Here is a 16975-nt window from a genome sequence, read left to right on the forward strand (position 1 = left end):
TATCACACTGGTCTTAAAAAGAAGCTTAAAAAAATAAAGTAACACATACTTTAGAAAATGAGGCAGTACAAAATGGTTTAAAGAAGGAAGTAAAAATTACCTGTAATCCCACCACTCAACAATAACTACTATTAATATTTTGATGTATATCCCTGACATATATATGGCATATGTATATTCATTCTATTTGGTTCTCTCTGTGGATAAACCTAGAAGGAATGAAATATGCTTGATATATATGAAGTACAATGGTATTATATAATACATGTTTTTATAAAAATAGGATAATACTATGTACATTTTTCACTTCACATCTATCATGAATATCTTTTTATATTAAAAAATAGATTCACATTATTTTAAATGTCTTATTCTATTAAATGGGTATAGCATAATTTATCTAACCAATCACCTATTGATACACATTTGTTTCTGATTTTTCACTACTAAAGCTATTTCTGCAACAAGCATATTTTTTATGTTCATCTGATTATTTCCTTAGATTAAATTTTTTTCATAGTAAAACTGTTGGGTCAAACACATTTAAACTGTTAATATATATTGTCAAATTGCTTCCTAAAAAGGTACTAATTTTCACTCCCACCATGGGGATTTAGTAAGGAAGAATATACCACACTCTCAGATTGGACCATTTTGGGGGCAGTTGTGTTCTTTCCATCTTGGTCTAATATTTGAAAATAAACAGGTAAGTAAAACTAGGGACAAGAATTTAAATAGCTGCCAAAATGATTTTGTGTTTCAGTGCTTCACACTCAGTAACAGACTACAAAGTGGAGTGTGGGGTTACTATGAATGTTTCCTTATGAGTTCTCACCAATCATAACCTAGGTTAACCTTTAAATCATGACTGCTTCCATCTAAATGCCATTATTAGCTATGGAAAATTCAGATCTAGGCATGACCCAAAAAAAGTTTCCATATAATTTTGTTTTAAAATAAATGTAATTTTTAAATTTTCAGGTTGCCTGGGCTTCTGGTTCCTCTTCAGATTACATTGGGAGATATTTACACACAACTTAAAAATCTTGTTCGAACTTTCAGGTTAGTGTTTATATTACAATTATCCTTCTCAATTATTTTGACTTTATTTATTGCCTTGCAGAATCCAAAGGCACAGAGAAAGTAAGTGACTTACCTTTCAATGTCACAGATCTAAATACAGTATTCTATTTTCTCCTCCACTAAACAACATTATTTCTCTCTTCTATTGAATGCAACCTTTATTTGCTCAAGCCATTATATATTTCACTTTGGATAGTTTATTTACGGAATAGCCTAAAATTGAGAAGGAAAATTATATCTATGATGCAAAGCCAGTAATACTATGGGTTTAAGTGAAATAGTAAATATATATTGGCTGACCCACACTGCACCAGGCACTATGGGTAATGTAAAAGAAACATAGTGCCACCCTAAAGGAAGAACTCTCCTCTGTGAAGATCATGTGAGTACAGTAAACAGTACAAGACAGTGGGCAATTTAATATTGAATTACACAGAACAGACTTAAAGTGCTAAGAACTATAAAGAAAGGGAGAATAGAGAATTGATATCAATTGTGAGTGAAACTGTTGTGATTTTTCCTAAAACTATCAAGATAAAAATACTCACTCAGGCTAAGACTAGGTTCTCTCTACCAAGAAGCATAGCAATAAGCCTCTAAATGGCTTATTAGTAGAGGTGTACCAAATACACATTTCAGCCAAATGCCAGTGACCAAATATTAAAATTAACATTTGCCTGTGGCTGATGTTGCACTGACACAGAATAAACTTCTAGGGTGGAAGAATTAATTCATCCAAGAAATTTATCATATATATTTATTATTATAGTCTATTGTTGTCAACAATAGCAGTCAGATTTTAGAAGTGTAAAATTACAGTACAGGAACAGTTTCTTGGCATAGTCAGCTGTTAGATTTCTCTTGCAGTCACATACTGTACATTAGTAACACCTAATAGACATCATTTTAAACTGGCAAATTTAAAAACATCAGTAACCTTTTTGTATGCCAAAAGTAATTCAGGAAAAAGTTTTTCAGTAAGTCTTTTACTAGAAAGAGCTTTGTATCTAGAATTCATAGTTTAAGGCAAACCTCAAAAATTATTTGTCTTCAAAGAATTGTCTTCAGCTGCTGAAAAGGATAATTTGTAATAATTTACATTAAACTATCAAACCTTCATAGATTCCAAACTATAGATGTCTTAAAACATTCTTCTAGAGTCTTCTGTAGTGAACTTTGAGTAAACAAAATGTACTTGGGATATCTCAGTTTTCTCTAAGTTTTATCTTAACACTTTTTTATATCATGATTAGATATTATATTGGATTATTATATATCTGTTGTTTATATATAATTTAGGAATTTTTCCAACTCATGATAGTTTGAGGGGACATTGATTTTCATTCATCGTCAATTCCCCAACAGAAATTTAAATACAGGTCTTCAAGGTTATTTTCTTTAATGTTGTGACTACTAGTAGGTAATACATTTCTGCAAAGTTTGAGTTATTATAAAATCTAATGTCTATTATTCTGTTTTAGATTATTTAAATTTTTATTAACCTATTCCCAAGATATGTTCTTGAGAAAGTAATCTAGTGTATTCAATGTTTGTATTAACTATCATTCTGTTTTCCTAAATAATTGAAAGTTATTACTGATTGTTTTATACTTAAAATTAAGCTTTCACAGGCATCATTAATTATTGTGGTATTTTACACTTCAGTTGGCTGATAAAACAAGCACATAAAGACATTTTTACTTCATTTTATCTAGGATGTTTATATTTGAAAGTGAATGTTTAGGTAATGATAAACTGAATGATATGATTGTTCTAATTACTAAGATTTTTACCCTCATTAGGTGTCATGAAAACTATGCAATTTGAAGATTATTGATCACTCACAAGTTCAGGGATGTCAATCCTCAGATTGGCCTTGGCCTTTGCCAAAAGAGGATTTGAGCAAAATAACAAGTCCAAAGCTGAACTTGTCTGCATGCTGTGTGTCCTGTTAGTAATGACGAGAGACATTTTTTAGATACACTGTCTTATACCTATCACAGAACCATGCATCCAAAAGGAGATAAAAAGTATTTAACAACTGTCTACACTGATGATAAAGTTTAAATAGATATACATAGTATGGAAACACTGAAGTTTAGGATTTGTTCAGGATTTACCAGGGAGTGAATATCATCATACTAACATAAAGTCGAGTGAGGGAAGATGAAGGTCAGATCAGGCAGAGGCTGATCATTGATTTTTTTTTTTTTTTTTTTAAAGACAGGGTCTTGCTCAGTTGCCCAGGCTGGAGTTCAGTGATGCGATCATGGCTCACTGCAGCCTTAACTTCTGGGCTCAAGCCGCAGCCTGGCTAATTTTTTTTTTAAGTTTTCTGTAGAGATAGGGGTCAGTCTCACTATGTTGCCCAGGCTGGTCTTGAACTCTTGCCCTCAAGGGATCCTGCTGCCTCTCAAAGTGCTGGGATTACAGACACAGGCAAGAGCCACAGCTCCTGACCATTTCATTGATTTTCAAAGGACTTGCCATTCACCCTCCTGCAGACAACACTTATTTAATCACCATTCTGAGCAAACCGATAAAGTTATGCTGTACATATCAGAAAAGATGAGAATAAGCCCTATGGTCTCCAACTACACACTTTTTATCTAGCTTATGTAGAATAGGTTAACTAGCAATTTAATTTACTTTGTCTATATTTTTTAGAACAATATTTTTCTATAGATCTAATTTGATGTCTCTTTTTTAAAAAACTATTCTGAGGTTCTCAAAAGTTACTAGAAACTTTAGGAAAAAAATGTTAGGCTACCCCAGATACTTCTAATCAGTGAGATTTGCTCAAATTTGGAAGCTTATTAGAATCACCTAGGGAGCCTTTAAAAATTGCCACCTGGGTCCTACCCCACCCCCGCCCCCACAACCGCCCCCCAATCCCCCAAGGATTCTGATTTAATTGGTTTGGCATATGGCATTCAAGGGACAGGATTTTAATGCTCTCCAGGTGATTTTAATGGGTAGTCAAAGCTGAGAACCTACTGCTGTAGGGCATGATGCAAAAAATAATAATAATAATTTTGGGACAAATACCTCACTGACCTTCCCAGTCCCTTGGTTTTCCTGCCTGCTCCCTTCTGGCAGCCAGTCAATAATTTTAGAACTTTTACTGAATGGAGACTGGTAATAGTGACATTTCTATTGTAGTGATTCTTCACAGTTGTTTTTTTTCTCCTACATCTAAGGACCTCTTTATTTTTCCGCCATAGAATTGATAAGTAGTGACTAATTTGTGTTTTTTAAAATATTATTATTATTAATGAAAAATACAGCCGGGCACAGTGGCTCATGTCTGTAATCCCAGCACTGCAGATATGAGGAGACATTCAACTGCCCTTTTCCTCTTATAAACTATTATGACTTTTTTCTGTCATTCCTATTTTCTGGCTCTAAGTCCCTTCTAGTTACTTTCTGCATTATTTAAAGACTTGATTATATGACATCTGAGATTTGCTTCAAAATTATCTAGATTAGCAGTAGTGTTGAATATGGGGTTGTACAGAAGAAACATGATTAGCTGGGAGTTGGTAACTGTCAAAGTTGTGATGTGTATATAGGAATTTATTTTATATTCTCTCTACTTTTATATATGTTTGAAATTTAATAAAAAGCTTTGGGAAAATAAGCCCAAAAAAGTATGCTTTATTTTGGTAGGAGGTGTTATAAAATTCTGTTCCAAAAACCTTGGTGTTAATTACTTTTGAAAATCTTTACTCCTTAGTAACTGTAAGTCAAAGTCTGTAGCTTTGATAAAAATTGCTTAAATTGGCTTCACTGTCCTTCAGAAAAGTGTCAGTTGCTTAGAATACAGAATGACCTCTGATAAGACAGCTGATTTGAAGTCTTCAGATTCCAGATTCTGGACAACGTTGGCAGGTCTGTGACAGTTTGTAGGCTAGGGCTGCCAGGTGAAGCTTCTGGAAAAATGCCATATTGATGACAGTAACTATTGTTGAGAAATCTTTTCAATCAATACTGATAGTGGGAAAGAGTTGACATAAATAACCATATCCTTCTCTCTGAAGTGACAATCAATAATAGGAACTTGTAGAACAGTGATTCTCAAGCCAGTTGTGCATCAGAATTACCTGGGGAGCTTTTAACAACTATAGATGTCCGGCTCCACCCTAGAGATTGAGTTTCATTCGGCTAGGGTTGGGCTCAGACATTAGTATTTTCTAAAAGCCCCCCTTAGATAATTCTAATAGGTAGCCAGAGTTAAGAGCCTATTTTGGGACCTAAACATAAAGCAGCTTTTTCGGCTCTATGAGAATTTCCCCAGTGAATAGAGCTGTCTTTTCCACTGAATTGCATTACAAATCTGCTATCTAGAATGTTACATTGGTTTACCTGTCGTAGTGTAAAGCAGTTTCCATCAGAATCTGCTTGATAATGACTCACTGTCATCAGTGTTGAATCAAGATATTTTTCTAAATTTGAATTAAAATTTATTTTTACACAAAAGTCCATTTTAAATTTAATCAGTGATGAATCAAGGTATTTCAATCTGTATGAATTTCAAATTATGTTTTGAAAATCTGCTTTTCATTTATTTTTATTTTTGAGACAGAGTCTCACTCTGTCACCCAGGTTGGACTGCCGTGTCGTGATCTCAACTCACTGCAACCTCTGCCTCCCAGTCTCAAGCAATCCTCCCACCTTAGCCTCCTGAGTAGCTGGGACTACAGACACACACCAGCATGCCCCGCCAATTTTTGTATTTTTTGTAGAGACGAGGTTTCACCATGTTGCCCAGGCTGGTCTCGAACTCCTGAGCCCAAGCAATGTGCCTGCCTCAGACTTCCAAAGTGCTGGTATTACAGGCATGAGCCACCATACCTGGCCTGAAAAATCTGCTTTTTAAATGTTTTCTATCAAATATTACTGTTTCCCTTTTGAATTGTCACTCAAACAATAGTAAATACATTCATTTAGCATCTGTGCTGGAAATTATTTTGGCTCAACAATAGGAAAAATATGAAAACAGGTGAAATTTTGCTAGTTTGCTACTGGAAGTACTTTGAAATGAAATGAAATGAAAGCAAAACCTCTTATTTGTGTTCTCTCCAGTGCGTGGAACAGTGATAATACAGCAGACACTCTAAATACATTTTTGGTGAATGTATAAGTGAATTATGAAATCTTAAATCTGTCTCAACTCTAGGAGATTTGAGTATAATAGAAAAGGAAATACTTTTTTGAGTTGTATCTTGCTCTGTCGTCCAGGCTGGAGTGCAGTGGCATAATCTTGGCTCACTGCAACCTCCACCTCCTGAGTTCCAACAGTTCTTCTGCCTCAGGCTCCCAAGTAGCTGGGATTACAGGCATGCGCCACCACACCCAGCTAATTTTCATATTTTTAGTAGAGACAGGGTTTCACCATGTTGGCCAAGCTGGTCTCAAACTGCTGACCTCATGATCTGCCTGCCTTGGCCTCCCAACGTGCTAGGATTACAGGCGTGAGCCAACACACCTGGCCAGGAAAGGAAATTTTATTCTTTTGTCATTTTATTCCTATATGCTTATCCTTATTTGAGCTAGCTCCTTTGGCTATATGCTAGATACTGTTTTATTTGCTACAGGTACATCAGTGAACAAAACACACAAATCCCTTCACTCATGGAACTTACATTCTAATAGAGGGAGTACAAAAATATGCCCTTTTCCTTTGAAGCAGGGAAATCAAATAGTACTAAGGAGGGAGAAAGTTGCACTTTTTAATAGGCTGGTTAAGGAAGACTTCATTGAGAAGACACTGTTTGTGTAAAGACCCGAAAGGAGGTAAGGGAGCAAGCTGTGTTGCTGTCTGTGAAACTACAGCAGACAAGGAATTAGCAGGTGCAAAGACTAAACCAGGAGCAGGCCTGGTGTATTCACAGAATATTTAGGTTGCTGGTGAGGCTAGAGAAACGAGCAGAGGCAAGAGTAGAGAGATATGTGGTCAGAGAAGTATGGGATTGGGGTTGGGTGTAGTACAGACTGTATAGGCCTTGTAGCTATGATCATTCTTTGACCTTTACTCTGAGTGAGATGGAGGGTAATTGCTAGGTTCTGAACAGAGGAATGACATGATCTAACATACATTTTTTAACAGCATCATTTTGGCTGCCAAGTTGATAATTACAACAGATGGGCCGAGGCAGAGAGACCAATACAGCTAGAAATAGCCAGGACTATTTTGGTAATCTAGGTAAGAAATGGTGTGACTGAAGAGAAAGCAGTGGAGGTAATAAGAAGTGATCAGATCCTATTTTGAAGGTGGAATCATTAGATTTGGTGACTGGCTGGACATGGGATGTGAGAGAGTCAAGTTTAACCATAAGATTTGTGGCCTGAGCAACTGGATTCTGGAAGGATAGGGTAAGCCATTTACTGAGATAGGAGTGTCACACCATCCTTAGTTTTGGGGGAAGGATGAGGAGCCCAATTTTGGCTCTACCAAATTTTGAGATGCCTATTAGACATCCAAGTAGAAGTGTCAAGTGGACCCTTAGATACAGAAATCTAGAATTCAAGGAGGAGGTCCAGACTAGAGCTAATACATTTGAGAGTTGTCAGCATATAGTTTCTAATATTTAAAGTCGTAAGATTGGATAACATCACCAAGGGAAAGAGTGTTTGTTTATACAGGAGAGAAGAGACCTAAGGCCAGAGGCCCTGGGACACTCCAGTATTAAAAGGTCCAAGGAGAGTGCTCATGAGAGGTGGGGGAACCAGGCAAGTGAAAACCTGGTAAAGAAAATGTTTCCTGGAGAAGGGAGTGATTGTCAAGTGCTGGACAGATTAAGATGAGGGTTGCGAAATGTCCGTTGGATTTGGCAGTATGGCTGTCTCTTGTACAGTTAATCCTCACAAGAACCCTGTGAGGTGGGTGATATTATTGTCCTTATTTTACCAAAGTAAGTTTCACAGCCATCAAACAACGTGTCCAAAATAAAACACTACTGAGGACAGATCTGGATATTAAACCCATATCTTTCAGACTCTAACCATTATATACTGTACTTCCTATCATCTAGGCTTTTTTAAATTTTGGAAAATGATGGGGAAAATTCAGATTAATGTAACAAAATATATCCTCCACTCAGAATTAATAGATTTTAATATTTTCTAAAATTTGATTCAGGTATATATTTTAAAGAAAACATTATAATTAATTTATTCAAAAAGTATTAATTGAATGCCTACTGACGGCCAGCCACTTGTTCTGTAAACTTGGAATAGTGAAGTACACAAAGACTCTTGCCCTCTGACAAGAAAAAACAGAAACAACAATTATATATTAGAAGGCAATAAGTGGTATGGAAAAAAAAGAAAAACATATAGCAGAATAAGGAGGTCAGGAATATTGGGTTTGGGAGGTAGAGGGCAAGTTGTACTTTTTAATACTGTGGTCCAGATAGGCCTTATTGCAAAGATGACATAAGGAAACTTACCTGGCAGAAGATTGTTTCAGATGGACGGAATAGCTGATGCAAAGGAGGAAGAGGGCATGAAGTCAGTCCCCTTTGTTCCCTTTCCCAATCCATTCTTCGTTCCTCCCCAGAAGCAACTGCTACTGTGAAGTAGATGTGTATCCTTCTAGTCTTTTTTTTGTATGTTTACTGCCATAAACAATATTTAGTATTTAGTCTGTTCTTGATTTATATAAATAATGCTATACCAGCTGGGCACCGTAGCTCATACCTGTAATCCCAGCATTTTGGGAGGCCGAGGCGGGTGGATCACTTGAGGCCAGGAGTTAGAGATCAGCCTGGGCAACATAGTGAAAGCCCACCTCTACAAAAATACAAAAATTAGGCGTGGTGGCATATGCCTGTAATCCCAGCTGCTTGGGAGGCTGAGGCAGAAGAATTGCTTGAACTCGGGAGGTGGAGGTTGCAGTGAGCTGAGAGCATGCCACTGCACTCCAGCCTGGGTGACAGAGCAAGACTCTGTCTAAAAAAAGAAAATGCTATACGATGTTTGCTTTCTTTCATTCAAAATTATGATGAGCAAAATATGTAAATCTAGTTTATTCATTTTAACAGCTATTTAATATTTTATAAATATGCCACAGTTTATTTTTCTATTACAAGCAAAGTTGCATTAAAACCCATTTTTTTAACACACATTTTTTTTATGTATAAGTGAGAGTATTTTTAGGCTTTATATCTAGAAGTATATAAATAGCTGGGCTGTTTATATGCATTTTCAACTTTATTAGATATTGCCAAATTGTCATTCAATTGCTCACATCAACAGTGTGTTAAAGGCACTATTTCTTCCCATCCTCACCAACCCTTGGTATTGTCAGTCTTTCATTTTTCCAGGTGGATGGAGTGAATTATTGTCTTTATATTAATTTCTCAAATTATTAGTGAGATTGAGCTTTTCAAATTTCACGGTCCATTTCAAATTTCCTCCTCTATAAATTCCCTGTTCATATCCTTTACCATTTATGTATTGGCTGATATTTTCTTATTGATTTATATAATTTTTAAATTTAGAGTGATCTTTCTAAATGCTTTCTGAGAATCTAAGATGACTACAGAGTTTTTTGTTGCCATTAATGGCTAAATGATAAAATTTACTTCTGTTTTTTTAAAAACTGAACTTTTCTTTAATAAAGACCTATTCTTATAATTTATTAAGCCAACTCTCATTTCTGTAAATTATGCATTATAACATGCCTTAATTGCCTGCTACCAACCTAGCACCAGATGGAAAGGTACAGAAGATGAAGTAAAATTAAAATCAGAAATTGCTTACCTTAAGCCAGACACAGCAGCATGTACCTGTCATCCCAGCTACTCAAGAGGCTGAGTCAGGAGGATCTCTTGAGCCCAGGAATTCAAGGCTACAGTGCACCATGATCATGCCTATGAAGAGCCACTGCACTGCAGCCCAGGCAACATAGCAAGACCCCGTTTCTTTAAAAAAAAAAAAAAAAAAAAAAGAGAGAGAGAGAAGAAAGAAAGAGAGGAAGGAAGGAAGGGAGGGAGGGAGGGACAGAGGGAGGGAGGGAAAGAGGGGAGGGGAGGAATTGCTTGGTTAGGGGAAAGCATAGAGAATATTATGAGTATGTTTGTTGGGGATATGTGTGTTTTAATCAAGCAATTTAGTTTCCCACATTGTTCCTACATGCTTATCTTGTCTAGTAGTAATATTATTAAAAACATATAAAAGTGGGGCTGGAACACTTCCTTTTGAGATGGCCATTATCAGATAGTGACTATTGAGCCACATTATTATACTATTGACTCTTTCCTGTCAAATATAACAAGTATTTTAAAAAAAAGTGCTTCTTTGGCACATTATTATAAATCTGATGTTATCTAGAAAGAAATAGAAAGTTTATTTAAAGGTAACACTCCTTGGATAAATTTTATCTATCTTTCAGGTTAACAAATAGAAATATTATACACAAACCTGCGGAATGGACTTTAATTGCTATGGTGTTGCTGTCATTGTAAGTACTCTCTCAGATTTTAACTCTAAATACTAAATGTGAAGCATATTGATTAGGGAAAAACAAAGTGATCCACTGATTTTGTAAACTGCCTTGGAAAATATCATACCTCTATTTTGTGCCTTATTTTCCTTTCCTATGTAAGAAAACAATTTTTATTTAAAGTGATATGTAATTATTCTCTATATTTTTTACCATCTTTTCTTCTGAATACCTTATTCTTTACAAATACTATTTGTTTTCATCTCTTTTTTGTTTTTTTTTTTTGAGACAGGGTCTCGCTCTGTTGCCCATGCTGGAGTGCATTGGTGTGATGTCAGCTCACTGCCACCTCTGCCTCCCAGGCTCAAGCAATTCTCCCACCTCAGCCTCTCTAGTGGCTGGGACTATAGTCACACACCACCATGCCTGGCTAATTTTTGTATTTTTTGTAGAGACAGTGTCTTGCTATATTGCCCAGGCTGGTCTTGAACTTCTGGACTCAAGAGAGCCACCTGCCTCTACCTCCCAAACTGCTAGGATTATAGGCATGAGCCACCACACCCAGCCTGTTATCATCTTGGAAAGAGACAAATATCCTCATGTGGAGTATATACAGAATAGTCTTTTCGTTTCATTTTTAGTAGTCTATTATATTAACATTGAATGGGCTTCATTATTTTACATCTGTATTTTTACATATCTAATATTATTTTGTTTGTCAACATACTTTATTAGCACCAAAAAAGTTTTTCAAATTAATGTACATTTTTAAAATCTGACAGGTTTAAAGGAACTAAACCAGATGCTTACTACAAAAGCATATATAAAACATTTAGTACTCATTCAGCTTTTAAGAAACCACTAGTGGTTTCTAAGGCTATTTATCAATAGGGTTAAAACTATTCAATAAGTGTAGTGTTTTTCAGCTTGAATTGTAAAATTCTTCTTTTGAGGATCATTCATTATTGCATTACTGTTGCTGCTTGGTGCTTGTTAGAGGTCATTGAAGCCCATAGGACATTGAAAACTTACCAGACACTCACAGGTCAAAAAGTGTTATGAATCAATCTCATAGCCTCTCCAGCCCTGCTTTCTCTTTCTTTGATATTACTTCAGTCTGACATGTTATTCTGGCTTTACTGTCCCTAGGAAGGCTGTGCTGAGAAGCATTAGAGTAGGCTTCAGTGAGCCAGAATCTGTGTCACCCAACTAGATGCAACTCACATGATTCATTAAATCAGAACATAGAAAATAACTTTACTTGAATGCCCTGATATAAATTTTTTATCAACCATAAGAACAAATCTTTTGTCATTTCTACTATTCAGTGTTCCAGCTGAATTGGTAATTTGTGAAACAGATCTTATTAATTTTTTAGAAAGTTCTTTCCATTTTATGAAATTTGTAAATATTTTGGTCACTGGCAAAGAAAATATCAGTATCTCTGCTCACCCACCAGATCATATGCCTGCTAGTAAACACTTATAGACAACTGTCTAACTGTAGTTCTGCAATTCATTATACTAAAGGGAGAAGTAACTTTTTTGGTCGACAAGTCAGAGGCCTAGGCTCAGCACTAATCTCAGAATCTTGCTTTCTAAGCCACTTACTGAAAGTATTATCATCATGAGCACTGCTTACTGAAGACACATTAAGTCCTACTGTTTTTGGATTAAGTTTTTGCCACATCTTATCTAAAATATATAGCAAAGAACTGAAAAAGTATGGAAAATGAAATAATAAAGGCTACCATTAAAATTTCATATGATTATTCTATACAAAAGTAAACCTCTCTAGTGTTTGATTTTAATAGAGGCATCCATGTGGCACAAAATACTGAAAGCTTTGCTAGTCCTTTTAGGCACTGTTTGACTTCTTTAACTTTGGATATAATGTAGGGAACCTCTTATTTCAAGAGTCAGTGACCCATAAAAATTGTGCCTTAATTGAATTCACGGAACAAATTGCACACATTTTACTGTAGTGTATCGCATGTTTCATATTGGGCAATCAATCTTTTTTTTTTTCTTTGAGATGGAGTCTCGCTCTGTTGCCCAGGCTGGAGTGCAATGGCACAATCTCGGCTCACTGCAGCCTCTGCCTCCCGGGTTCAACCAATTCTGCTGCCTTAGCCTCCTGAGTAGCTGGGATTACAGGCACCTGCCACCATGCCCAGTAGAGCTGGGGTTTCACCATGTTGGTCAGGCTGGTCTCGAACTCCTGACCTTGTGATCCACCCGCCTCGGCCTCCCAAAGTGCTGTGATTACAGGCATGAGCCACTGCATCCGGCCTAGGGCACTCAATCTTGAAATTGTAGCAGTAAACACTATTTGCTTTTGTCATTCACCTTGCATCCCTTCTCTCTTTCGTTATGCCCTAATCCCTACCTCTAGATCTAACCTTCCTTCTCCTAGTCATTGGTCAACTGGACAACTAAAATCTTCCCCAGTTAGGGGAAACCCTTTTAGCTTCTTTAAAAATCTTTGGTCACTATAGACACCAAGACAAGTGGTGTTTCCTAGGTTTTTGCCTTTGAAATCTTGTTTTCTGATAATTCTAACTTTTGCTCTAGGCCTTCCTTGCAGATTCTTTTCATTCTGCATTTGCACATTCTGTATCTTCACTAGCTGAATCTCCCTATTCTTTTGATCATCAGCTTCTAAGACTTCTGTCTCCTGCCCCATATTATTTTCTTATTTCCTCTTTTCTCAGAAATTCCCCTTTAGCTTTTCATATTTCTGCCCCCACTGGAAATCTGTGGCTCAACTGATAGACTTTTTTTATCTCCAACTTTGTCCATTTGTCACCTTTTTATAGCAAATACTACTGTACAAGTTAGGGATAAAATTAAAATACATATTCATCATGTTAAAACTCCATTGACTTCTATAAAGTATAATTATACTTTAATGTGTATTTCCACCCCTCTTCTCCCCCTTACAGTTTTCACAATTACATTTTAGAGAAGGCATTTTGTCACTGGGGAAAGCAAAAACAGGCATGAAGGCCAGCATTGGATAAATAGCCTTACAGTGAAAATATGGAGACTTTAGAAACCCAGAGACATGCACATATAAAGAGAAAGGACGAAACACATGCACACGTTATTTGTGGAGAAGTAACCCCACCTTTCAGCCTTTTAGCTTATTGCCACTAACATTGACTGTAGGCATACATGGGTGTATGTCTTTTTTAAAAATAATTATCCTATTATTCAGAAAATTTTCACATCTACTCTCAAATTTCCAATGGAATTTTTAAGTCACAACTTGTAGACATTTCTGGAATTCATGTTTAAAAACAAACTGCTTATAAGTCTTTATAGCTAGGCAAAAGATTCTAAATGGCAGTTGTCACTTAAGATGAATATAAGATAATATGTTCAGTAGAACTGTTCTTTATATATGAATATTGCTAAGTTTTATTATTACTATAATAGCATTTGTTTAATCCATGAAAGCTGTTTTCAGAATTCCTCATGTGAACTCTTAGAAGAGGATACATACATACACCTATATATAATTGTATTAGTATGTTGCTATAATGCCACAAGTCTAACTCTTGTTAAAGGGGGAAAAAAATCAACATTTTGACCAAAACATGATAGTCCAGGATAACATAAATAAAACTGAGTCTTGAATTTTCACACCTTTATTCTTAAAGGAAATAAGGAGTTTTGGTAGTAAGCCATCTTCTCCTGGTGACTTTCATTGTTCTTTCACAGATGTATTAACATTTTTTAAATCTGTGCCAGGTGCAGTGGCTCATGCCTATAATCCCAGCATTTTGGGAGGCTGAGGCAGGAGGATTGCTTGAGCCCAGGAGTTGAAGACCAGCCTGAGCAACATAGTGAGACCCCGTCTCTACAAAAAATAAAAACATTAGCCAGGCACAGTGGCATATGTCTGTAGTCCTAGCTACTAGGGAAGCTGTGGTGGGAGGATCTCTTCAGCCCAGGAGATCAAGGTGCAGAGAGCCATAATCATGCCACTGCACTCAAGCCTAGGTAACAGAGCAATACCTTATCTCAAATAATAATAATAATTTGGACCATAACATGTAATTTATCAATGTATACTGATGGAAATTGTATTTGTGTATCTCAGAAAAAAATCTGACCAGTTGGTACAGTTGATCATTGCACACTCAATGAAATGCATCCCATATGAAAATACACCATGACCCATTCCCACTTCATTTAGGTTTCTCACTGATTCCATGGGACTTGAATTACTATTGTGATTGCAACATTTATTGATATTTATACTATGAATTCAGCCCTAAGTGGTTACCCAAGAGCACATGGAAAGACCTTTTAAAGCAGAGCTTAAGCACTATACATTTATGAAGGAATTAATGTTCCTTTAATTCCTTTAAAAATGTCCTCTTATTCTTATTTAATAAATGTTACAATTAAAGACTCTCAAGCACTCCTTACACACAGAACATATATAACAGTGATAATTGATTGACTTTTTTTAGAAGAACTCATTAGAAATGCAATAAAATAACCTGATAATTGCTCAGATTTATTGCTTAAGTACTTGGTTGTAATTTTGCATCTTAGTTGAAGTTTATCAGACTTTACTCTTAGATCTGATTTTGTTCCTGGAAAAGGTACTATATAGTGAAATAATACAGAGTTGAACCTGATTTTCTTAACTAAATATGCCCTATTGAGATGTTAGGCTCTTTCCACAATCTTTGATGCATGACTTTTAATAAAAATGTATATAAGTATATATAGATTGTCTTCTATAGGCCAGGTGCAGTGGCTCATGCCTGTAATCCCAGCACTCTGGGAGGCCGAGGCAGGCGGATCAGTTGAAGTCAGGACCAGCCTGGCCAACGTGGTGAAACCTCATCTCTACTAAATATACAAAAATTAGCCAGGCATGGTGGGGCATGCCTATAGTTCCAGCTACTCTGGAGGCTGAGGCAGGAAAATCACTTGAACCCAGGAGGCAAAGGTTGTAGTGAGCTGAGATGGCACCACTGCACTCCAGCCTGGGCGACAGAGCAAGACTCTGTCTCAAAATAAAAGATAGTCTTCTATAAATATTTAGTACCTATATACTCTACTGTGTAAAGCTTATTAATGTATTTATATATTTTGAAGTTAGAAAGGACAGTAGGCGGGGTGCAGTGTCTCACGCCTGTGAGCACTTTGGGAAGCCGAGACAGGTGGATCACGAAGTCAGAAGATTAAGACCATCCTGGCCAACATGGTGAAATCCCATCTCTCCTAAAAATACAAAAATTAGCTGGGTGTGGTGGCATGTGCCTGTAATCCTAGCTACTCGGGAGGCTGAGGCAGGAAAACCGCTTGAACCAGGGAGTCAGAGGTTGCAGTAAGCCAAGATTGCGCCACTGCACTCCAGCCTGGTGACCGAGTGAGACTCTGTCTCAAAAAAAAAAAAAAAAAAAAAAAGAAAGGACCATAATGAATTGCATAAAATTATATTTTTTGATGTGGTATCAAAGTATATCATATTTGTTTTTATATTCCTCATAATTCCATGTTACCCACAATATAAGAAACCTGAAAGTAAAGAATCACTTTTAATCATGGTCACAGTATTCAGAATAGCTTTTTTGAGATTTAACTGGTATTTTGAGAAGATTTTCTAGCCATAGGACACATCGCTCAGCTTCTGTCCCATTTACTCCTTCCCTCTTCCCTTTGCTCTTGGTCTTCCCCAGTCTTCTGTGACCTCTGTCAGTATATTTGAGCCTGTAACACAAGAGGTCACTGTGCTGATGGTGACCTAAAACTGAGAAATACAGGGAAACGTCCAGACCAAAACTGGCAGCCAAAGAGAAGACATATAGAAGGCTATCGAGAAGCAGCTTGACTGGCCCGAGTTCCTTTATGTGCAGCCTATGTGCCAGAAGTGGGAATCAGGTTTCCTCAAGTGTTTATACTTAAAATGTAACTTTTCCTCCCAAATTTAATATAAAAGCTTTGTAAATAAGCCACTACTTTGTATTCTGATGGTCTGTGGTCAATTGTATCATAGGAGTCAAATGTCTCTTGGTGGCCAGGGAGAGAGGTGTGTGTTGTGTTCTGTGTGAATTATTTGGTTATCCAATGAAGGAGATGAGTACTTTGTATTACTCAGAAAGGATAGAGGATAAAGTGACTTGTAGTAGTCTAACATGGATACATGCTATTCCTAGTTCTATGCCCTTGATGTTCTCTAATGGAAAGCTTTCAAGACCATCTCCAAAAATGTCTGCTTTCATTTTATTTATCTGAACTGGCTGTTTCCAGTGAACTGTGGCCCGCTTCCTAGGCAGAGACCATACAATAGTTTATTCTCTCTAAAAGCTTTGAGTATTCCTGTCGTTCAGGGAGTAGCATGCAAGTCCTGGGAAATGGTATTTAAACAAGCTCAACTTGACCATGATCGCTAAACAAAAGCCATCACTGGACATAGGCA

General features: G+C 36.6%; 2 protein-coding genes across 6 annotated transcripts in view; one reads left to right on the forward strand and one right to left on the reverse strand.

The window, feature by feature from the left end:
- The window catches only part of GLMN (glomulin, FKBP associated protein), a 124443-nt gene that overhangs the window by 88964 nt on the left and 18504 nt on the right, over window positions 1-16975 (reverse strand). The gene's annotated exons all lie outside the window — the stretch shown is intronic.
- The window catches only part of RPAP2 (RNA polymerase II associated protein 2), a 102998-nt gene that overhangs the window by 36307 nt on the left and 49716 nt on the right, over window positions 1-16975 (forward strand). For 3 of the 5 annotated variants that reach the window (NM_024813.3, XM_047430820.1, XM_017002363.3), the window contains exons 10-11: window positions 982-1062; window positions 10481-10549. In NM_024813.3, the coding sequence (NP_079089.2) occupies window positions 982-1062; window positions 10481-10549 (150 nt within the window). Of the gene's footprint in view, window positions 1-981; window positions 1063-10480; window positions 10550-14286; window positions 16512-16975 lie in introns of those variants that run through there. The other 2 variants (XM_011542167.4, XM_017002364.3) reach the window with 2 other exon arrangements.

This window comes from Homo sapiens, chromosome 1, assembly GCF_000001405.40.
Source record: "Homo sapiens chromosome 1, GRCh38.p14 Primary Assembly".
Classification (NCBI taxonomy): Eukaryota; Metazoa; Chordata; class Mammalia; order Primates; family Hominidae; genus Homo; species Homo sapiens.